A 24,702-nucleotide genomic window follows, 5' to 3' on the forward strand; every position below is an offset into this window, starting at 1 on the left:
AACAGACAAGCTTCATAGCAGCCTTCTACAAGGTAGGTTTCTCCTGTAAGTTAGGGACACAGGTGAAAAGTGGTCATGTGATGGATTTGCACAAGCTGCTTATCTCCTCATGTTCTTGAGAGTGTTACAGAGTTGGATAGTGATGGAGCCTTCCTTTTTTTTAGACCGTGATACACACAAGACCACCACAGCACCAGATTACCACATTCCCCAGCAATTTATCAATATCCCTACTCCCCCATAACACCTCCTCCTCCCTCTTCTGGTATTTCTGCACCTCCCAAACAACCTCTTTGCACACAGTCTTTGTCTCAAGGACTGCTTTTAGGCAGTGCAGGGGACCCAACCAAGACATTACATCTACAATTATATCTAAGAAAGCTTGGCTGGACATGGTGGCTCACACCTGTAATCTCAGCACTTTGGGAAGCCGAGGCGGGTGGATCACTTGAGGTCAGGAGTTCGAGACCAGCCTAGCCAATATAGTGAAACCCCACCTCTACTAAAAATACAAGAATTAGCTTGGTGTGATGGCACACACCTGTAGTCTCAGCTACTCAGGAGACTGAGGTGGCAGAATTGCTTGAACCCTGGAAGCGGAGGTTGCAGTGAGCCAAGATCGCACCACTGCACTCCAGCCTGGGTGACAAAGACTCTGTCTCAAAACAAAACAAAACAAAGAAACAAACAAACAAATCAGAGAAAAGAAAGCTGACTTCGTGGAACTGTTAGAATGATTTTGTTATGTTGCAGTTCTGAGCCTAGGCACAGAATTTGCAAGATTTGCCTTGATTTCAGCTACAGAGTGTGCATGTGTTTTGAAAAGGAAAAACAACAACAAATCTATTCCATAATATATTTGTTTTGTGAAAGACAGAATCTCTTTTTGTAAAGAAGAAAATGACTTTTGAATGAAAAATTTTGATATCAGGGTTTAAATATGAATGATTCAGGAAGGTGGTATTACTTTAAGAAAAAATGAAGCAGATGTGTGCAGGTATAAGTGTAGACATTTATGGTATAAACATTTATGAAAAGATTGTGCACGCAAAGATGGAGTAGGGCGCTTGAAAATCTATGACATGAACAGATCCCTTTCTAGGCAGAAGATATATTTTTTTTTCTAGCATTGTCAATACCTGCTGTGCACAGGTGGTTTGGGCAGTTGGGGCTCTTGCACATAAATATTGTTATTCAGATTCAAATTTAAGCATACAGATTTCACATCTCCCAAGGGTCTCAGTATTTGAACCTACCTAGTTCTGACTTCAGGGACTCTACTCTTTGCATTTTACTATACTTTTTTCTAATACCTATTAATACCTGGAACAATAATAACAGTAATAATAGCTAATTTTTATTGCACATTTGCTTTGTGCTAGACACAATTCCAAGTGTTTTGTGTATATTAACTCTTTTAATTATCATACCAACTTATGACATAGATCCTATTTCTATCCCCATTTTTTATTTTAGGAAACTTGGGCATAGTGAGGCTAAGTTACCTTCCCAAAGTCAAAGATCTAATACATGATAAAGGCACTATTTAAATTCATGCAGTTCAATGGAGCATTTGATTTTAAACACTACTCTTATATTTCACCAGATCCTTTCACATGATGTTATTAAAAGTACAGTTCAAAAACTAAATTTGATAATTGTACAAATTCTTTCCCTAGGGTGCCTGTCCAAATGCTTTAAATTTTAAATCCACATGTAAAATTTAAAAGACAAGATTATTTAAAACAGCTTTACTTATAATGTTAATGTCTGCATGCAGGAATCTTATTTGAGAATTGACCTCAAATAGTAGTATATGACAATGCTGAAAAAACAAAGTGATGTTAAAAACAATGAAAACCAATGTTAAGATGCACCATTTCTCTTGAGATCAAAAAAGAAATTAATAAAACACAACTGTTTCTAAAATCAAAAACATGTTTATTTTTTCTCACATTGCTATTAACTCAGTGCTTAAAAAATAATCCATTCTTAATATCTGTTAGGGTTCAAAGATGTTAATTATAAAATTGTTAGTTAAAATCAATGATTTAAAAATATTAGTTAAAACCAAATTGTTGTCTGGCTTTGCTCCAATTAGGATTATTTAGAGCTTTGCTAATTTAAATAGGTAGACCCCTGAATATAAGAGTAGATTTCTACACATAAATGGCAATAACATCAAAATCAGATGATGATTGTTATTCAATGTGGGTGGGATGGGAGGAGGAAGGGAAGCTACAGTTATTAAATGATGATAATATATAGATAACAAAGAGAAAAAGTTAATTAGAAGACATCAGTTTGCCTGAACTCGATAACATGATTAACTAAAAAACATTCTCCTTGAGAATGTAGAAAGGAGATTGTAGCTGAGCCCCTCAGTGCCAGTGTGTAAGATTTAGGGCTGAACATTAGCTTAACCAATTTTCTTGGATCTACTTTACCACCTATGATCCTTTGGAGCCATATTCCCCAGTAAGCACATACAGATGAGTTGGGACATATTGAACCAACTATTTTAGTATCACTTAATTTATCATAAAAATAGACTAATGTTAGAAGGGAGAAGCATGTGGGCTGAATCCAACTCACGGTAAAAGAGAAACTCAGCAGGGATAGATCTAGAAAAAGATCATGGAAATTCTGACTTCTGACTACTAGCACTAATTACTAGAGTTAACATTACTTAATAGGCATAGACATACAATAAACGATCAGTTTGACATTCCTCTTCCTATTAATAATAATTGTTCACCATTTCTGCCTATAAGCAAAAAGCCTCTTATTGATTCCTTTGTAAAACAGAGACAGAGTTTTGCACCAACAGTTTCTTAGTAGCAAGCAATAGATATAAACTCCAGCTAATTTTAGCAGGATAGAAATGTATTAAAGGGCTATTAGGGAGCTCTCAGTATAGTTGGCAGGAATGGAGAATCAGATTAAGTGCTTAAAAGCAGGATTTACACCCAAGGCACACTTCAGTACTGCTCTGATGATAAAACTGTTGCTGCCTTCATTTGTACGAGGTGCCATATTTTGTACTCTGCCAACATTTCAACCTTATCACAACTGCTAATGCTGCCAAGAAAGATACCATGCCTCTTGCACCGTTAGCTTCTGAATTAAAGTCTGACTTCGGTACATGTAATTGGCAGAGCCTAGGTCCATTGTTTATACACTAGCTTCAAGGGACCCTGGGAAGTGAACATCTTATCTTTTCTCACTTCTGGGATGGGAATCCATTTCTGCTGCTATGAAGACTCATGAATTGTGGAACTGCCCCATATGGGAAGGATGCCGAGATCTAAGTTGCCAAAAAGAAAGATTGTCTAGTCCATGACATTTTTATGTAAAACTGTTCTGAAGAGCCTCTGGCTTCTGGTCTTGACAGAAAAATCAAGTTAAGTAGTCTCTGAAAATGCTCCAAGGATTCTTACTAAACTCTGTTGCTCAAATAATAGATCTCTCAGAGATATTGACATGATCTTGAATTAAAATTCCTAAACTCTTTCATATCTAAGTAGATATCAGTAACTATCAGTTTTTGTAAAGAAATTAGATGACATTTTTTCCTTAGTATTTTTTTTTCCAAGACAGAGTCTTGCTCTGTCACCCAGGCTAGAGTGCCATGGGATGATCTCGGCTCACTGCAACCCCACCTCCCAGGTTCAAGTGATTCTCCTGCCTCAGCCTCCTGAGTAGCTGGGACTACAGGTGTGTGCCACCATGTTCGGCTAATTTTTGTATTTTTAGTAGAGACGAGGTTTCACTATGTTGGCCAGGCTGGTCTTGAACTCCTGACCTCATGATCCATCCGCCTCAGCCTCCCAAAGTGCTGGGATTACAGGTGTGAACCACCACGCCTGGCCTCTTAGTATATTTTACCTACAGTCCTGAACTGTCAAGCTTCCTTTGAAGCTTGTATTTCTAAAATGTTCTAGAAGCAATAAGAATCAGAGAAAATATTATATTGAACAGTACTTTGAAATTTCTGTATATATGGAGCACACCTGATTGGGCAGAAAATTTTTAGGTCATGAAATTCAATTTTTAATCAGATATAATGTGTGAGATAATACAAACACAGTCTCAAAATTTGTTTTCCAGCTGCAAGCAATAATTATTTTCTTAAGTGATATATATTTTCATAACATTAATATAGGGAAATGCCCATTCAACAAAATTTGTCCAAAATGGTAGTTGGATTAGCACCATTAATGCTTCTGTAATACACTCTGCACGCTTTCAATTTTTAAAGAACATTCACGTATGTAAATGAAGATGGGGAAAGAATATACAGTTTGAAACCAGATAAACATGTTTACCAGCTCTGGATCTGCTATTTAACAACTTTCTTACTTAATTTATTTAACTCTCTGAGTTTATATCCTTGTCTGTAAAAATGAGGGTGATAATATCTTTCATGAAGGACTGTGGTAGGAATTACCTGAGAAAATGCAAAAGCACATTGCATAGCCATGGGCATTTTGTGGTCTCAATAATGGTGGTGGTTATTTTCATTTTTAGATTAGGGTACTTTAATGTAAACAAGAGGCAAGAAGTAAAGGAAACTACCTTTAAGATACTTATTGCATAGAGTCTCTGCTTTCTAAAAGAAATGGAGAAGCATTGCTTGGAGTCTCCACATTCTGGAACCTACAAGGATAACTTGGGCATTTTCTATAAGATACCAGCATGTACACATCAGAGTTACCATCAAGAAATAAAACTAACACACATACACACACACACACACATTGAATAAGCTGGACTGAGGCAGGTAACCATGGGGCAGAAATGGTCAGATCGAAACAGTCTAATGATCATAACTACTGAGTCATTATCAAAAATCAAGTAGTCAGGCCAATGGAACTTCTGTTGGATTTTTATGTGACACTGACCTGGCATATACAGGGTCTTAGTCCTCAACTGAGAAATGTGATCAACAGAGAAGCTCACCAGCCACTTTAGAAAATAGCACCATTTAATAATTTCACAAAAGGCAGCAGGTGCTAAGATGAGAAGGACTTGGAAACTTTCATGGGTATGTATGCACGTGTGTGTATGTGAGAGAGAGATAGAGAGATAGAGAGAGAGAGAGAGAGAGAGAGAGATAGCCGTGTGTTAGAGACATTGAATTTCACATTAAGAAACTTGGCTTAAAAATCTCTTCCCCACTTACTAGCTGTGTAATCTTGGGAATAGTATTTTACCTCTTTCACTATTATTATTATTGAAATAAAGATTAAAATAGTACTTTTCAAGATAATTACAGTGAAAGTTAACTGCATTTAGGCACAGGAAATCATCTAGAACAGTCCCGGTAATTATTTGGTGTCTAATAAATATTGAGTCTTTAAAAATTACATTATTATATATGTCATTATTTATCTATTTTGATTGGTCAGTGCCTATGCTGAACAGGTACCTAAATAGTTTGAATATTATCTAATTATTGAAATAAATTTTATCATTTTGCTAAATGCTAAATTCTAATAGCTAAAGCATTCTGAAAGTCAATAAATATTTTCTCAAACAAACCAAATGCTTTTCTCCCAAAGGACTATATTTCTCTTTTTCCCTCTTTTCACAGCTCATTTATCCTGATACCTAGACATTGTTATTACATTTGAGCTCTTTCTGGAAAGCCCAGCTGGCATTTCCACAAAAGTTCTCTTTGCATGCGCTATTTCCCCTCCTGATCTCCTCTGTGAAATGCAGTTGAATTATTTATGTGTGCCATGCTTATTATTTATGTGCTCCACAAAGTGGAGAGCAAGAGGGAGTACTAACATTTATTCCCCAAGTGGGAGGAGTCAGTAGGAACAAAAAATGTTAGGCCAAATAAGTCACTTAGTAGAATGAAAACAATGGAATCTTCTATCAAATGCCATTAGCTCAGGACTCGGAGTGTCATGGAGAAGACGTCTAAACCATTTGGCCCACTCAAATGAAGGACAAGAATGTTCTTTCCTGTGGCACCAAGGCCAAGGAATCATTGGTTAAATAAAATTAGGTGTAAGATGCTGAGTAAAGTTGAAGTCCTGAACTTACTTTGATTATTTGCATGGGTGAACCTGATGAGGACTCACCTCCTAATGACAAAGCCCATTAATAGGGATTGTTTGGTTTTGGAGGCAAGAGATGGAAAGCTGATAAAGTCAGAGAAATTAAGAAAATCATGCTAAGTGATTTTGTTCATCCATGGTGGAGCTTTTAGAAACAAACAAACAAAAAGCAAACAGAACTCTTCTTCTGAGAAGCATAGTAACTTCTTCCTTTCCTTTCTGTACTGCAGGTATTTATACTGTAGTTATTTTTTAAAAGATGTGAAGATTCTGTGTAATGCAAAAATTCACAACATATCACAGCCAATGCCCCAAGCAAACAAAAGGGGAAAGTTTTTAGCTCCTACATGTTTCCTGTGAGATTTTGAAATACAACTTCAGACTACTAATTACAGTGAAGTTAGATGAAACCAAAGGGCTAACCATTGTGTTGATTCAATTTCACAAGGGACTGAGGTTTCAGTGAGAATTCAATTCATTTTATTTCTTCTGCAGGTTAAGTTACTGTAAGTATAGAGTGGATTCTGGTAACATATGTCTATGTTTTTTTCATTGGATGAGTTTTGCAAAGTTGCCTCAGAGAATTTCCAAATTGAAAAGAAGAGATGTGTATTGGTAGTTTTTATAGACAGAGTGCACCTAAATACAGAAACTGTATCTAGATCAACACAAATCTCTCACCACCCATGGGAAATAATTCAAGAGTGTATGCTAGACCAATAGTGGGTCAGGAACATTATCTTCATAAGAAAGATAGCACATTATACTTACTTCTGATTTTCACTATTAATTGTTTGTTACCTTAGGCAAGTCGTCTGGGAGAAGGGATTTAATAATAAGAAAATATGTGTGTCCTTCCTTTCCTAAGTTGGCCAAGGGCACATTTCACTGCTTGAGTTACTCTACTCACTAAGAAATAATTCAAGCTCTGTGCTTCTGTACAATTTATGTTTTTCTTGGAACCACAGTGTGAAAGGATCTATTTGCTATGCTCACTTTAATTTTGCTTAATATTGGAAGGCCTACATTTATGCAATTATAATTTTAAGCCCATATATTTATAGATAAAATTAATTTCTTAAAATATATTCCATCATATAACATGTTTTATAATGCATAATGATGGGATCCATTATTCCTTATCCTAAACAGCATCTTCTTTTCTATTCTTTGCATGATTTGGAATACCCAACAATTAATTACAAAATATTTGTTGAACATTTTTATGGAGAGAGTATCCAAACTTTCTTTGGCTTCTGAAAGCCAAGAACACCTCTGTCTTAGTTTGTTCTGGCTGCTATAACAACAGATAACAATTATCTGTTGTTGACTAGATAATTTATCAACAACAGAATTTTATTGCTTACAGTTCTAGAGGCTTATAAGTCCAAGATCAAGGTGCCAGCAGATTCAGTGTTTCTTGAAGGCTTGTTTTCCTGCTCCAAAGATTGCACCTACTTGCAGTGTCCTTACTTGGCAGAATGGCATAAAAGGTATAGATTTTTCTCAAGCCCTCTTATAAGGGCTCTAATTTCATTCATGAGGGTGGAGTTCTCATGACCTCATCATCTCCTAAAAGCCCTACCTTTAAATACTATGGCACTGGGGATTAAGCTTCAACATGATTTTTGAAGGGGCACAAACATTTAAACCATAGCAACACCCCCCACCATCTTATGACTACTCATTACTTTCTCTATACTCCCTCCATGGACAATCTCATCCTGTCCAGAGTCTCAATTACCAACAAATTCCTGTGATTCTCAAATTTATCTTTCAAGTTCATTCTTCTGAGCTCTAGATCTTTAAGACATTTATAATGGAAAGTTCAGAACTAAATGAATTTATCTAATTTCGCTATCTATCCTTTCCCAATCCCCATACACTTGCTCTTTAGTCTGTTGGCCCAGATTAGTTGACTAGAACATTATCAGACTTGCAATCCAAACAAACATATAGGCTTTTCCTTGTTCTTTTATCCCTATGTCCAGTTACCACCTTTCCTGAAGTCTACTTTTCAAGTCATTTTCATCACTTTTCTCTTTTCTCCTTTCCTGCTGCCCTTGTTCTCTTAAACCATCACCTAGTGCAGTGATTTCCAAGAAGGGCCACATACACACACTTGAGGGTGGTCCATGGAAGCCAAGGAAAAACATTTTAGAATTTTTGTTTACTTATTACATAGAAATAAGTAATTCTTTTACATTTTACTTCCTGTTTTTTAAATTTCTATGTGACTTTTATGACATATACTTTATGAGTATGTCAAAACATATTACAAAATATGCATGTAAGAGAGGATGCATGCTCGATTTTTAGTGATAAAAGTTCATCATCAAAAATGCTTGGAGACAACTGAGCATTGTTGGAGTCTTCTATCAGGTGATTTGTCTCGGTATTTATATTCTCCAATATATTTTGCACAATTATTAAAAATATTGCTGGTGTGAATATTGAATAGAACCTTATTCTTGCCAAAGTAAACTGTGTGCTTCATTATCAACTCTAAATCTACTTTTCCCATTTCCTCTCTCACCATTTTCCGTATCATATATCCTTTGTATTGTGCCAGGTGAACATTACCATTCTGCCAGATACTCTCCCGTTCACGATCTGCTGTCTTTTTGCGTGGGCTGAGCCTTTTCTTCTTTGCCCAGCAAACTCCTGCTCTTTAGAACCCTGGTCAAAATCACTTCCTCCTGAAGACTTCTCTGACTCTGGAAACAGAATTAGTCACATTCTTGTGTAAAAGAAATAAATTTATGGACAGTGCTATGATTAGCATGAAGTGGGTTCTATTTTAGGTGTCTCTTCAAGATTTTCTCTCTTCCTGTAGACTGTCTTTAGATTGCATGTTATTCAGCCTAATACCATCCACCACTCCTAGTTCATTGGTTGCCATGCAAGACAACTAATGAATTATCTTGCAGAAAATATGTTAATTTAGTGAAAAAATACCAAAAGCTACAGTATCAGGGTATTATTAGAAATTTCACATTATTTTGATAAATTAGTTAAGAGTTAAAAAACCAGACTGACATCAAGATCAGTAATTCAGTTGTGCTGTATTAAAACAAAAACACTTTCTTAGTATATTTGTCTGGGAAAACCTAATTTTTCAATTTAATCAGTGTTTAGGGCATTTTTTTTAGTTCTTGATGAGTGGAATATTTCATCAGAGACATCTACCTATACAGGATAAAATATGTGTAATATTTGAGCAAACTTTAATACTATTTCCTATTGCACCAAGACTCAGTGAGAAGAAATGGGTGGATCACTTTTACAGGTACACTAAACTGACAGTAAAGGAGTTCCTGTCACTATAGCACATTTCCCAAATATCCATGAGTTCTTAGACTACTTGGTCTTTTCTATCCAGCCAAAGGAGGTTCTGCTCTTCAGTGGATTCAAACAAGTATCACTGGACAGATATGTGTTCCCTTAGGAAGTCCCAGGCACTCAGTCTTATAAGGTCAGTTCAATGTAGACAAGAGTCACCAGCATATCCAAGCACATCAAGCATGGTCAAGTGTGCATAAAACTCATCTATTTTAAAACATTGGGTTAAGCGTTATTCATTCATTTAACATTTCAATGTTAGCAGCAATTTTTCAACTACTTTCAACAAGTTGCATCAGCAAGATTTGCATTCACAGTTTACAGACTCAAATACTGTGGAGGATGGTCTGAAGACCAGAGAAAGTCTGACCACAGAGTATTATTTCCTTGGAATACACTAAGTCCTAAGTGGGGAATGTCTGAAAAATAATTAAGTAACTTAACTAAGAAACTCAGTCATCTTGGTTGGCCTCCTACAGATACATTTTTGTTGAAAAGTGAGGGAGGAAGGTATTAGTTTATACTTTAAATGTCTCAATCTCTATTATATCTGTATATAATTAATATCTATTGTATATAATAGTTCTGTGTAATTTTATTACATGTGTAGATTGCACATGTAGGTCCCTGTAACCACTACCACAATCAAGATATGGAACTATTTCACTATTCCACTACTCTGAAGATCTCCCTCACACTACTTTATAATTAATCACATTCATCCTACCTGCCTCACCACTATCACTAACCTCTAATCTGTTTTCCACCTCTATAATTTTTTTTATTTTAGGAGTGTTATGTAAATGAAATAATTAGTATGTAATCTTTTAAGATTGAGTCTTTCACACACCATAATGCCCTTGTATTGATAGTTCATTCCTTGTTATTGGAATAGTATTTCGTGATATAAATGTACAATAGTTTGTTTAATCATTCACCTATTTTAGTATATTTTGGTTGTTTCTTGTTTGGGGCTATTTCCTATGGACTTTAAAATATATTAACAGCTCTTTTATAATCTTTATCTTTTAAGCCAACATCTGAGACTTTGTAAGATTTTGTAAGTTATTTCTATTGACTAGATTCTTTAAAATCTTAATTATGGGCTGTGTCATATTTTCATGGCCTAACTGTTTCACCCTCCTCTTTTTTTTCCTTGTTCTTTCTTATTTTTCTTTTCTTTTTGGCAAAATGGCTTTGTTTAATTAATGAAACAGGCTTCCATATTAGCTTCTGGTGTGGTCTTCTAGATATTTTCATGGTGTTTTATAATGTCTTCTTTCCCTAGTTATACTTTTATTTTCATTCTATGTGTATCACAATTCCTCACATTTCCTTTACATTTGGCAAAGGAATCAGACAATAAATTTTTATGGGAAAGTATTATTCTTGGCAATAAAGATAACACTGTATTTCAAGTCATACATTCTTAGGGTTAAGTAAGAGTTTTTATTTTTAGCTATATTTTAATTTTTATACTAAGAGATTTAAATGTGTTTTTATTATAGTTGCAGCTCAAAGTTGGTTTTACTTTGAAGCATTTCCTGAACTTCAAGGCAGAGGCAAATATTCCAACTATGATATTCCCCAAATTATACAAATATGTCTATTACTATACTGATTATATTTATTATGTTGATTGATTATAGTCATTTTGAGCATAGGCTTTTTCCTGTTTGATATTACAACCCTAAGGTAATGCACATGAAGGTAGGAAATGTATTTTAATCATTTCTATATATTTTATTTATTTATTTATTTATTGCTTAATTTAATTTAAGTTTGAGTTCTGGGATACATGTGCAGGATGTGCAGGTTTGTTACATAGGTAAACATGTGCCATAGTGGTTTGCTATACAGATCAACTCATCACCTAAGTATTAAGCCCAGCATCCGTTAGCCATTCTTCCTGATGCTTTGCCTCCCCCTGCTCCGCACCCCCTAACTCCGACAGGCCCCAGTGTGTGTTTTTACCCTCCCTGTGTCCATGTGTTTTCATTGTTCAGCTCCCGCCTATAAGTGAGACCATGCGATGTTTTGTTTTCTGTTCCTGTGTTAGTTTGCTGGGGATAACAGCTTCCAGCTCCATCCATGTCCCTGCAAAGAACATAATCTCATTCCTTTTTATGGCTGCATAATTTTCCACGATGTTATATGTACCACATTTTCTTTATTCAGTCTATCATTGATGGGCATTTGGGTTGATTCCATTTCCTTGCTATTGTGAATAGTGCTGCAGTGAACATACATGCACATGTATCTTTGTGATAGAATTATGTATATTCCTTTGGGTATACGTCCAGTAATGGGATTGCTGGGTCAAATGGTATTTGTGGATCTCAACCTTTGAGGAAGCACCACACTATCTTCCAAAATGATTGAACTAATTTACATTCCTACCAACAGTGTAAAAGTCTTCCTATTTCTCTGCAACCTCACCAGCATATGTTGTTTCTTGACTTTTTAATAATTGCCATTCTTACTGGTATGAGATGATATCTCATTGTGGTTTTGATTTGCTTTTCTCTAATGATCAGTGATGTGGGGTTTTTTTTCATATGTTTGTTGGTCACATAAATGTCTTCTTTTGAGAAGTGCCTGTTTATGTTCTTTGCCTACTTTTTAATGGGGTGGTTTGTAATTTTCTTGTAAATTTGTTTATGTTCCTCGTAGATTTTGGATATTAGCTCTTTGTCATATGGATAGACTGCAAATTTTTTCTCCTGCTCTGTGGGTTGTCTGTTCACTCTGATGATAGTTTCTTTTGCTGTGCTGAAGCACTTTAGTTTAATTAGATCTCATTTGTCAATTTTTGCTTTTGTTGCAACTGCTTTTGAAGTTTTTATTATAAAATCTTTGCCAGCCAGGTCTGGTGGCTCACGCCTGTAATCCCAGAACTTTGGGAGGCCAAGGATGGCAGATCACGAGGTCAGGAGATTGAGACCATCGTGGCTAATACAGTGAAACCTTGTCTCTACTAAAAATACAAAAAATTAGCCAGGCGTGGTGGCATGCACCTGTAGTCTCAGCTACTCGGGAGGCTGAGGCAGGATAATTGCTTGAACCCGGGAGGCAGAGGTTGCAGTGAGCCAAGATCATGCCACTGCACTCCAGCCTGGGCAACAGAGCAAGACTCCATCTCAAAACAAAAACAAAAAACCTTTGCCCATGCTTATGTCCTGAATTGTATTGCCTAGATTTTCTTCTAGGGGTTTTATAGTTTTGGGTTTTATATTTAAGTCTTTAATCCATCTTGAGTTAATTTTTGTATAAGGTGTAAGGAAGGGGTCCAGTTTCAATTTTCTGCATGTGGCCAGCCAGTTCTCCAAGCATGATTTATTACATAGGGAATCCTTTTCCCACTGCTTGCTTTTGCTAGGTTTGTTGAAGATAAGATGGTTGTAGGCTGAGTTCTTTATTCCATTTTATTGGTCTATGTGTCTGTTTTTGTGTCAGTACCATGCTGTTTTGGTTACTGTAGTCTTGTAATATAGTTTGAAGTTGGATAGCACGATGCCTCCATCTTTGTTCTTTTTGCTTAGGAATGCCTTGGCTATATGGGCTCTTTTTTGCTTCCATATGCATTAAAATAGTTTTTTTCTAATTCTGTGAAGAATGTCAGTGGTAGTTCGATGGGAATAGCATTGAATCTGTAAATTACTTTGGGCAGTATAGCCATTTTCACGATATTGATTCTTCCTATCCATGAGCATGGAATGTTTTTCTATTTGTTTGTGTCCTTTCTGCTTTCCTTGAGCAGTGGTTTGCAGTTCTTTAAGTGGTTCTTCACTTCCCTTGTTAGCTGTATTCCTAGGTATTTTCTTCTCTTTGTAGCAATTGTGAACTGTAGTTCATTCATGATTTGGCTCTCTGCTTGTCTGTTGTTGGTGTATAGGAATGCTAGCAATTTTTGCACATCGATTTTGTATCCTGAGACTTTGCTGAAGTTGCTTATCAGCTTCAGAAGCTTTTGGGCTGAGATGATAGGGTTTTCAAGACACAGGATCATGTCATCTGCAAACAAAGACAGTTTAACTACCTCTCTTCCTATTTTAATATGCTTTATTGCTTTCTCCTGCCTGATTGCTCCAGCCAGAACTTCCAATATGATGTTGAATAAAAGTGGTGAGAGAGGGCATCCTTGTCTTGTGCCAATTATCAAGGAAAATGCTTCTAGCTTTTGCTCATTCAGTATGATATTGGCTGTGGGTTTGTCATAGATGGCTGTTATTATTTTGAAGTCTGTTCCTTCAATACCTAGTTTATTGAGAGTTTTTAACATGAAGGGATGTTGGATTTTTATCAAAGGCTTTTTCTGCATCTATTGAAATAATCGTGTGGTTTTTGTCTTTAGTTCTGTTTATGTGATTAATTATGTTTATTGATTTGTGTATTTTGAACTAGCCTTGCATCCCAGGAATGAAGCTGACTTGATCATGGTGGATAAGCTTTTTGATGTGCTGTTGGATTTAGTTTGCCAGTATTTTATTGAGGATTTTTGCATCGAGGTTCATTAGGGATATTGGCCTGAAGTTTTCTTTTTTTGTTGTATTTCTGCCAGATTTTGGTATCAGGATGATGCTGGTCTCATAAAATAAGTTAGGGAGGAGACCCTCCTTTACACTTGTTTGGAGTAGTTTCAGAAGGAACGGTACCAGCTCCTCTTTGTACATCTGGTAGAATTCAGCTGTTAATCCATCTGGTCTCGGGCTTTTTGTTTGGTTGGTGGGCTATTTATTACTATCTCAATTTCAGAACTTGTTATTGGGCTATTCAGGGATTTAACTTCTTTCTGGTTTAGTCTTTGGAGGGTGTATGTGTCCAGGAATTTAGCCACTTCCTCCAGATTTTCTAGTTTATTTTTTTAGAGGTGTTTATAGTATTCTCTGCTGTTTTTTTTGTATTTCTGTGGGGTCAGCAGTGATATCCCCTTTATCATTTTTCATTGTGTCTCCTTGATTCTTCTCTCCTTTCTTCCTTATTAGTATAGCTATTTTATTAATTTTTTTTCAAAAAACCAGCTCCTGGATTATTTTTGAAGGGTTTTTTTGTGTCTCTATTTTCTTCAATTCTGCTCTGATGCTGGATATTTCTTCTCTTCTGCTAGCTTTGGGGTTTGTTTGCTCTTGGTTCTCTAGTTCTTTTAGTCAGATGTTAGGATGTTGATCTGAAATCTTTCTAGCTTTTTGATGTGGGCGTTAGTGCTGTAAATTTTCCTCTTAACACTGCTTTAGCTGCATCCCAGAGATTCTGATATGTTGTCTCTTTGTTTTCATTGATTTCAAAGAACTTCTTGACTTTTGCCTTGATTTCATTATTTACCCAGGAGTCATTCAGAAGCAGGTTGTTCAATTTCCATGTAGTTGTATGGTCTTTAGTGAGTTTCCTAATATTGAGTTCTATTTTGATTGTGCTGTGGTCTGAGTGACTATTTATTATGATTTCAGTTCTTTTGCATTTGCTGGGGAGTGTTTTACTTCCAATTATGGGATTGATTTTAGAGTTAAGTGCCTTGTGCTGAGAAGAATGTATATTCTGTTGTTTTTGGGTGGAGAATTCTGTAGATATCTATCAGGTCCACTTGATCCAGAGCTGAGTTCAAGTCCTGAATATCTTTGTTAACTTTCTGTCTCAATGATATGTCCAATATTGACAGTGGGGTGTTAAAATCTCCCACTTTTATTGTGGGGGAGTCTAAGTCCCTTTGTAGATCTCTAAGTACGTGTTTTACAAATCTGGGTGCTCTTGTATTAGGTGCATAGATATTTAAGATAATTAGCTCTTCTTGTTGAATTAAACCCTTTACCATTATGTAATGTCCTTCTTTGTCTTTTTTGATCTTTGTTGATTTAGTGTCTATTTTGTCAGAAACTAGGATTGTGACCCCTGGTTTTTTCTGCTTTCCATTTGCTTGGTAAATTTTTTTCCATCTCTTTATTTTGAGTCAATGTGTGTCTTTGCACATGAGATGGGTCTCTTGAATACAGCACACTATTGGATCTTGACTCTTTATCAAGTTTGCCATTCCGTGTCTCTTAATTGGAGCATTTAGCTCATTTGCATTTAAGGTTAATATTGTTATGTGTGAATATGATCCTGTCATCATGATGCTAGGTGGTTCTTTTGCAGATTTGTTGATGTAGTTGCTTCATAGTGTTGGCCTTTGCACTTCAGTGTGTTTTTGTAGAGGCTGGTAACAGTTTTTCCTTGTCATATTTAGTGCTTTTCTCAGGAGTTCTTGAAAGGCAGGCCTGGTGGTGACAGATTACCTCAGCATTTGCTTTTCTGAAAAGGGTTTTATTTCTCTTTATTTATGAAGCTTAGTTTGGCCAGATATTAAATTCTGGGTTGGAAATTCTTTTCCTTAAGAATGTTGAATGTTGGCCTCCAGTCTCTTCTGGCTCGTAGAGGTTCTGCTGAGAGATATGCTGTTAGTCTGATGGGCTTCCCTTGGTAGGTGATCTGGCCTTTCTCTCTGGCTGCTGTTAATATTTTTCCTTCATTTTGACCTTGGAGAACCTGATGATTATGTGTCTTGGGGTTGATCTTCTCATGGAGTATCTTACTGGGGTTCTCTGGATTTCCTGAATTTGAATGTTGGCCTGTCTTGCTAGGTTGGGGAAGTTGTTCTGGATGATATCCTGAAGTATGTTTTCCAACTTGGTTCTGTTCTCCTCATCTCTTTCAGGTACCCCAATCAGTCATAGGTTTGATCTTTTTGCATAATCCTGTACTTCTCAGTGGTTTTGTTCATTCCTTTTCATTCTTTTTCTCTAATGTTGACTACCTTTCTTATTTCAGCAAGATAGTCTTAGAGCTCTGAAATTCTTTCCTCCTCTTGGTCTATTCAGCTATTGATACTTGTGGTTGCATTGTGAAGTTCTTGTGTTGTTTTTCAGCTCCATCAGGTCAGTTATGCTCCTCTCTAAACTGGTTGTTCTGGTTAACAGCTCCTGTAATGTTTTGTCATGATTCTTAGCTTCTTTGCATTGGGCTAGAACATGCTCCTTTAGTTCAGTGAAGTTTGTTATTACACACCTTCTGAAGCCTACTTCTGTCAATTCATCTATCTCAGCCTCTGCCCAGTTTTGTGCCCTTGCTGGAGAGGTGTTGCAGTCATTTGGAGGAGAAAATGAGCTTTGACTTTTTGAGTTTCCAGCATTTTTTTTCATTGATTCTTTCTCATCTTTCTGAGTTTATCCAGCTTCAATCTTTGAGGCTGCTGTCCTTTGGATGGGGTTTTGGTTAGGACTTTCTTGTTGATGGTTTTGTTTTTGCTTTCTGTTTGTTTTTCTTTTAACAGTCAGGCTCCTCCTCCATAGAGCTGCTGCAGTTTGCTAAGGGTCTACTCCAGACCCTATTTACCTGGGTTTCTCCTGCACCTGGAGGTGTCTGCAGGCTGCAGAACAGCAAAGATGGCTGCCTGATTCTTCCTTTGGGATCTCTGTCCTAGGGGGACACTGACCTGATGCCAGTGGGAACACTCCTTTATAAGGTGGCTTGCGACCCCTGTGGTGGGGGTCTCCTCCAGTCAGGAGGCATGGGATCTGGGACCCACTTAATGAGGCACTCTGGCTGCCCCTTAGAAGAGTGGGTGCACTGCACTGGGAGGAATCCCACTTGTCCAAACTGCCTAGATTCCTCAGAGCCAGCAGCCATTTCTGTATTTTTCATAGCACTTGTTACATAGCACATGTTTACAAAATACTTATTGAATAAATAGATAATCAAATTAAAGAATAAGTGTATGAAAATGAGATTTGTCTGTATTCCCTAGTTATCCTAAACAGTATCTTGAACATTATAAGCACTTATGAAGTATATAAAAAGATAATTGAAATATTTCATGGAAATCCTTTTAATTTCACTAATTGAAATTCTATCTGCAATGACTATTCCCTGAGCCTTCTATTTTTAGGCAGAGGGAGGCAATATAAAAAACACTAACCTAAGAATCAATTTTAGCTCTGGTACTCAATTTTTGTTTTTGTGGTATGATTTTGGACAATTCACTTTTACCTTTACAACCCTCAGTATATTCATCTGTAAAATGAAGATAAGACCCAGCCTACACAGTTCCCAGATTGTTCTGAGGATGGGATGAGATGCTGTAATTAAAAGGATTTTGTAAATAAAAGAGCCTGGTAGAAACATATTGAAATAAATATATTGTCTACAATTTTTGATACAAGTTTTGAAATTAAAAGATAACATTGCATGTTTTTATTATGTACTATATGATGTCTAATATAATGCTTTGAAGTATATTATGGAATATCAATTTTATTACATTCAAATGGAAATAATGACTTGAAGGCTCTTTTATTGTGGTGGTCAAACCAATTAGGAGTGTATAGAAGGTCTTTAGCTCATTTCTAAAAATAAATGTTTATGAATACACAAAAATAGTTTGATACATTTAAAAATAAATTTTGAAGTGCTAAAATATTCAAATTCTAATTTATGCTAAAGTATGTATTCTGGGAAAGTGTTTTAAAAATTAGATATGTCTAAGTGTTTATTTTTGAGCCAGAAGTGATGATCAGGTCCTTACATATTTTACTTTACATTTCACTGGGAGAAAGTCACATTTCTGAATTCCAGACTAATAGTTGATGTTGGGGCTAATTTAGTTTTTAGCCAAACAGAAATCCAAAATTCCAGTTCCAGCACTTGGCTATATCAGAATTTCCCAGTTTCCTTGAAAATTTTTATCCTTTATAGATATTTTGAAGGTGCATTTTCAAATTTGTCTTCAAGTCACTAAAGTAACTCTCAATAGAAATAAGTAAATTGAGTTCACCAATTATTCTAATATTAAAATTTAATTAAATTTTTAAATAAAATTTATGCAAAATTTGAAGCAATATCTAAGTATAAGTCTCCCTTGGAGACTTTCTTTTCTTAGAATAGAAAGGCCAGGCATAAGAGCAAGAGTAATTAAAAACTTATCAGCAACCTTTTAAAATCAAGTGTCTGAAAAAGTTATTTAATTTAGGTTAGAATTTAACACAACTACTCTTGATTGGCTGTTAAATGAGTATCCATTAATTATTAAAAATAACATTTGAAGGTTAACATTTAGCAATTTTGATGAAATATACTCTGTATTGAAGTAGAACACTTTTCACCAAATATGTTTAAATACATATTTGGTAAAGGCTTCCATTTTGTTACTTAAGGCCTCACCTAAAAGGGTCTCATTTTATACTGCTGTGTTCAGATTAACTTGTTGATAGAATATTAGAATAGAAATAGTGAAGTACGCTTTTGAAAACAGCATTTAAGTTAGAACTTAAATTTTCAACAATGTTTAAATTTGTTTTAAGGTATATATCACAACTCTATTAATGCCAATTTGAGAATTCAATCAGCATTTATTGGACATTTATTGAATACTACTATGTTAAAAGCATAATGAGAATACCATGGGGGACTCAGGAAGGTAAAATATATTTTATTTGCTTTCAAAAAATGCCTGCATTAAAATAAGAGGAATGCACAGTAGGATGTAATAAGATGCAAAATGGGCCAGAAAAAATAATAAGGTTGTTTAGGAAAAATCCAAAATTACATTTGACTGGAGTGACTGCGAGAGATTCCATGAAAGAATATCCTAAGTAGCCTTTGAAGGGTGAAAAACAAGAGTATATGAACACTGAGCAGGAAAAACAAACTATATGCAGAGCAGTTTGAACAAAACTATAGAAGAGAAACCATGGAGGCAAGTTTGGGAATCGGTGGAGAGTGTTTGCTTGATTGTTGACAAAAGGTCCTGGTAAAGGGAAAGAGACCTGGTAAAGGGAAATAACTTTTATAAAGTATATTTATGATTTCAATCTAATTATATAAATATGAATTTATGAAGCTAATTAATGGATGACTAGCTAATTTTAAAAAGTAATGTTACCCTTCACGGAAGATGTAAAATAGATCTCTTTAAAAAGCATCCAGTTTCACTCATAATTTTTATTCACTTATAAAGCAGACATTTATATAAAGTACTCAAGACAGTATATCTATTTTGGAAAATTAGATCATCTATACAAATACAATTAACATTAAAGGAGCTCTACCAGTCAGTTCTTTCACCAAATTTGGGTTCAGGAAATTATAAACTTCATTTCAAAGCCCTTCACTGATTAGCATCATCTGGTTTTATCTTTAGCAAAAGCTTGAGTCTGAATCACAGCAGTCAGGAGAAAGGGTAGACTTTGAAAATATAAAATTTTACCAAACATGGAAGAGAAATAACAATAACAAAAACAATGATAATAATATAAAGCATACGTTTTACAGTTTCAGAGAGATTTGTATAGTTGAAACAGCATGGCTTTGAAGTCAGACCATCGTTTTCCAGCAATTTTGCACATCGTGCAACTTAAATTATCTGAGTTTTAGTTGACTTGGTTGTAAAACAGAACAATTAACTGCTTACTTTCCATGATTATTGTGTGGATTGAATATGGTAACATAAAAATAAAATATTGAGTTCATGGTAGAGGCAAAACAATTGTTAATCTTCCTCATCTATTTCTCATACACATTATCATAACAACCTTGTGTAAGTGGTTATTATCTATTCATCCACCATATATTTTATGAGCTCTTACTCACATTGACCCTGCATTGGTCTAGAAGGGGAACATCAAACAACAAAACATACAAAAATGCCACATTTATTAAGATTTTAATAACAAAGCTCTGGGAGAAAATTAGTAAATGGAAAAAGAAAAAAAATGCATGGTATCTTTTTCCTTGAGTTTCAATAACTCACCCAGCATATGCTTTAATTTAGATTGGTTGGTTTTGCTTTATTTTAAAACAAGAAATTCTTTTTGGATCCACAGATTTATTTTACCCTTGTATTAGTCAGGGATCTCCAGAGAAACAGAAACAACAGGAGATCTCTCTCTCTCTCTCTCTCTTTCTCTCTCTCACACACACACACACACACACGCACAGAAGAGTTGATGTTGTTGCATCTTGAATCCAAAGGCAGTTGGGAAACAGAATTCTCTCTTCCTCAGAAACCTTAGTCTGTTTTTCTCAAAGCTTTCAATTGACTGGATGAGGCCCACCCACATTATAGAGGGTAATGTGCTTTACTCAGAGTTTACTTTTAATGATTTAAAATGTTAAGCTAATCCAAAAAATATTTTCACTGTGACATCTATACTGGTGTTTGACCAAATATCTGGGTACCGTGGCCTAGCCAAGTTGACATATAAAATTAACCTCATGATTTTTTATGTTAGGAAAATTTTATTCAGGGATTAAGTATAACTTCTTTTTCATTTATTGTATTTCCAGTAATTTTCTGAAGTTTAAAATTTAATAGGTGCAGATTTGTAAGGTTATAAAATCATATAGGCTGAAGTGGGTATACTAGTGAAAACTATGTAGACATCATATTTTAAAAACATTTCAAAACTAAAATGAAGGAGAAAAAAATTATGATTTTAAGTACTTAAGCACACTGTGTCTTTTAAAATATGATTTCGATATAGTTTCGCTAGGCACCTATTTCAGACAACATGAAGAGTTTTATACCCTGCTAAGATGGATGTGTTCAACAGACATTTATTCTCAAGTATGTAAAGACAGGAACTACGGTACTGCGGATGCAATATAGGTTTACTCTTTTTTTGTTGTTGTTGCGATGGAGTTTTGCTCTTGTTGCTCAGTCTGGAGTGCAATGGTGCAATCTTGGCTCACTGCAACCTCTGCCTCATGGGTTCAAGCAATTCTCCTGCCTCAGCCTCCTGAGTAGCTGGGATTACAGGCACCCACCCCACACCCAGCTAATTTTGTATTTTTGGTAGATACAGGGCTTCTCCATGTTGGTCAGGCTGATCTTGAACGCCCAACCTCAGGTGATCCGCCCGCCTCGGCCTCCCAAAGTGCTGGGATTACAGGCATGAGCCACCACACCCAGCCAGGTTTACTCTTAAAAAGGAAAAGATATATAAATCTAAAATAAAAGTTGAAATAAAAAAATTAAAAATTAAAAGGGAGCTATTTATCATTAAAGATAAATTATGAAGCAAATCATTTGTTCCTGAAAACACTTTATTCATGGGCTGCATTATAAATTATCTTTGTGTTGAAGAGAACACTAGATGGAATTACATATTTTGAGAAACAGAAAGTAAATAATAGCCTATGTCCTGACTAATCATATTAAGGCAAAAGTTCCATGCCTATTTTTGACTGTTCAGTTCTCTACCATATGTGATCATTTTACCTCATGAGTTTTCAAAATTATTTCTTAAATAAATGACTACTTCCTTGTAGTTAAATTGTTTTATAAGAGAAGCTTCTTTGTCCATCTGAAATGTAAACTATATTGGAATAAATGTCAAAGTTTGTGAAATAAGTTTGAGATAATTGCATGAAGTCATAAAAGAAGGCTAGGGTAGGAAAGAGATAATTCATAAATCGTACCTGTTGTTAATCACTTCAGATGTAATTAAACTCAGCCAACTCTCTGAGCTTGTGTTTTTCTTCCTGTCTTGCCTCACACTGAATTATTCATTTTGAAAAATATGTAAAAACTCAGGCTGGGCGTGGTGGCTTACAGGTGTAATCCCAGCACTTTGGGAGGCCAAGGCGGGCGGATCACAAGATCAGGAGATCAAGACCATCCTGGCTAACACAGTGAAACCCCGTCTCTACTAAAAATACAAAAAATTAGCTGGGCGTGGTGGCGGGCGCCTGTAGTCCCAGCTACTCGGGAGGCTGAGGCAGGAGAATGGTGGGAACCCGGGAGGTGGAGCTGGCAGTGAGCCAAGATCACGCCACTGCACTATAGAGCGAGAATCTGTCTCATCTCAAGAAAAACAAACAAAAACAAAACAAAACAAAACCCAAAACAAAAGAAAACAACTCGTGGTAATTTCTAGTGTTGGAGATGACTTTTAAGTGTTATCTCCCTGATGGAGCTGCTTATGGCAAAGTTAAATTACAGAAAATGATTCCCAACAGTTTCTGAACCTAAAGCACAACACAGTTCTTTGTGTTGACAGCAAATATAAGTCCTTTATAAACAACAAACATCCCCCTCCATATTGCCTGACAATTAAGAACAAATGAATGGGGGATGGAGAAGCTATGGAAAAAGTTGGTGGTGAAGATGAAAATGTAGTACTCTAAGATTAAACAACAGGAGGTATTATAACATTAGACTAGAATTAAAAAATTCAAGCTTTGTCAAAAGAAAAATAATAATACAATTCACAAAAATAAGAGAAGGAGAGAGAATGCTACTTTCTCACCTTTCATAATGCAGAATAATCTAAGTTCTCTAATATTGAAATATTCAGGACAAAGAAAAAACATGAAGTTTTAAATATTCTTTTCATAATGTCTTTTATTAATATTAAAAGGTATTTTTTTCTTACAACTTAGGTTTAAAGAAAAAACATTTTATCTTAGATCTTGCAATTTCATTTTCATTTCTTTTTTATCCATAAAAATTATATTTAATACTTTGTTAATAACAGGATGAATAATGCATTTTCATTTTAATGAAATAATCTGTGTCCCTTCTGTGTATATGCATAAACAGATGTATAGAGTGATGTTCCCTAATTTTAGTCATGATTATTCTTTTCTTTTTGTGTTTTCTTCTGAAATTTTTATAAAGAACATTATATTTTTAAGAAAAAATATTTATTATTCTAAAAAGAAAGAAATTGAGACTCAGAGAAGTGAAATAACTTGAGAAGTTGACATAAAACGCTACCTGACTTCAAACTATACTACAAAGTTAAAGTAACCAAAACAGCATGGTACTGGTACCAAAACAGAAATACAGACCAATGGAACAGAACAGATCCCTCAGAAATAATGCCGCATATCTACAACCATCTGATCTTTGACAAACCTGACAAAAACAAGCAATGGGGAAAGGATTCCCTATTTAATAAATGGTGCTGGGAAAACTGGCTAGCCATATGTAGAAAGCTGAAACTGGATCCCTTCCTTACAACTTACAAAAAAATTAATTCAAGATGGATTAAAGACTTAAATGTTAAATCTAAAACCATAAAAACCCTAGAAGAAAACCTAGGCAATACCATTCAGGACATAGGCATGGGCAGGGACTTCATGTCTAAAACACCAAAAGCAATGGCAACAAAAGCCAAAATTGACAAATGGGATCTCATTAAACTAAAGAGCTTCTGCACAGCAAAAGAAACTACCATCAGAGTGAACAAGCAACCTACAGAATGGGAGAAAATTTTTGCAGTCTACCCATCTGACAAAGGGCTAATATCCAGAATCTACAATGAACTCAAACAAATTTACAAGAAAAAAACAAACAACCCCATCAAAAAGTGGGCGAAGGATATGAACAGACACTTCTCAAAAGAAGACATTTATGCAGCCAAAAGACAAATGAAAAAATGCTCATCATCACTGGCCATCAAAGGAATGCAAATCAGAACCACAATGAGATATCATCTCACACCTGTTTTCTAACTGGCGACCATTAAAAAGTCAGGAAACAACAGGAAACAACAGGTGCTGGAGAGGATGTGGAGAAATAGGAACACTTTTACACTGTTGGTGGGACTGTAAACTAGTTCAACCATTGTGGATGTCAGTGTGGTGATTCCTCAGGGATCTAGAACTAGAAATACCATTTGATCCAGCCATCCCATTACTGGGTATATACCCAAAGGACTATAAATCATGCTGCTATAAAGACACATGCACACGTATGTTTATTGTGGCACTATTCACAATAGCAAAGACTTGGAAGCAACCCAAATGTCCAACAATGATAGACTGGATTAAGAAAATGTGGCACATATACACCATGGAATACTATGTAGCCATAAAAAATGATGAGTTCATGTCCTTTGCAGGGACATGGATGAAGCTGGAAACCATCATTCTCAGCAAACTATTGCAAGGACAAAAAACCATACACCGCATATTCTCACTCATAGGTGGGAATTGAACAATGAGAACACATGGGCACAGGAACATCACACACTGGGGCCTGTTGTGGGGTGGGGGGAGGGGGGAGGGATAGCATTAGGAGGTACACCTAATGTTAAATGACGAGTTAATGGGTGCAGCACACCAACATGGCACATGTATACATATGTAACTAACCTGCACGTTGTGCACATGTACCCTAAAACTTAAAGTATAATAAAAAATAAAAATAAAAAAATTACTCTAAATACTTTTCTAGGGCAGTTTTAAAATATTGGCTCAAATAGTTCACATTTTTTCTATTTTTTATTATTTTAAAAATTAGATAAAATATGAA

This window comes from Homo sapiens, chromosome 4 (assembly GCF_000001405.40).
Source record: "Homo sapiens chromosome 4, GRCh38.p14 Primary Assembly".
Lineage (NCBI taxonomy): Eukaryota > Metazoa > Chordata > Mammalia > Primates > Hominidae > Homo > Homo sapiens.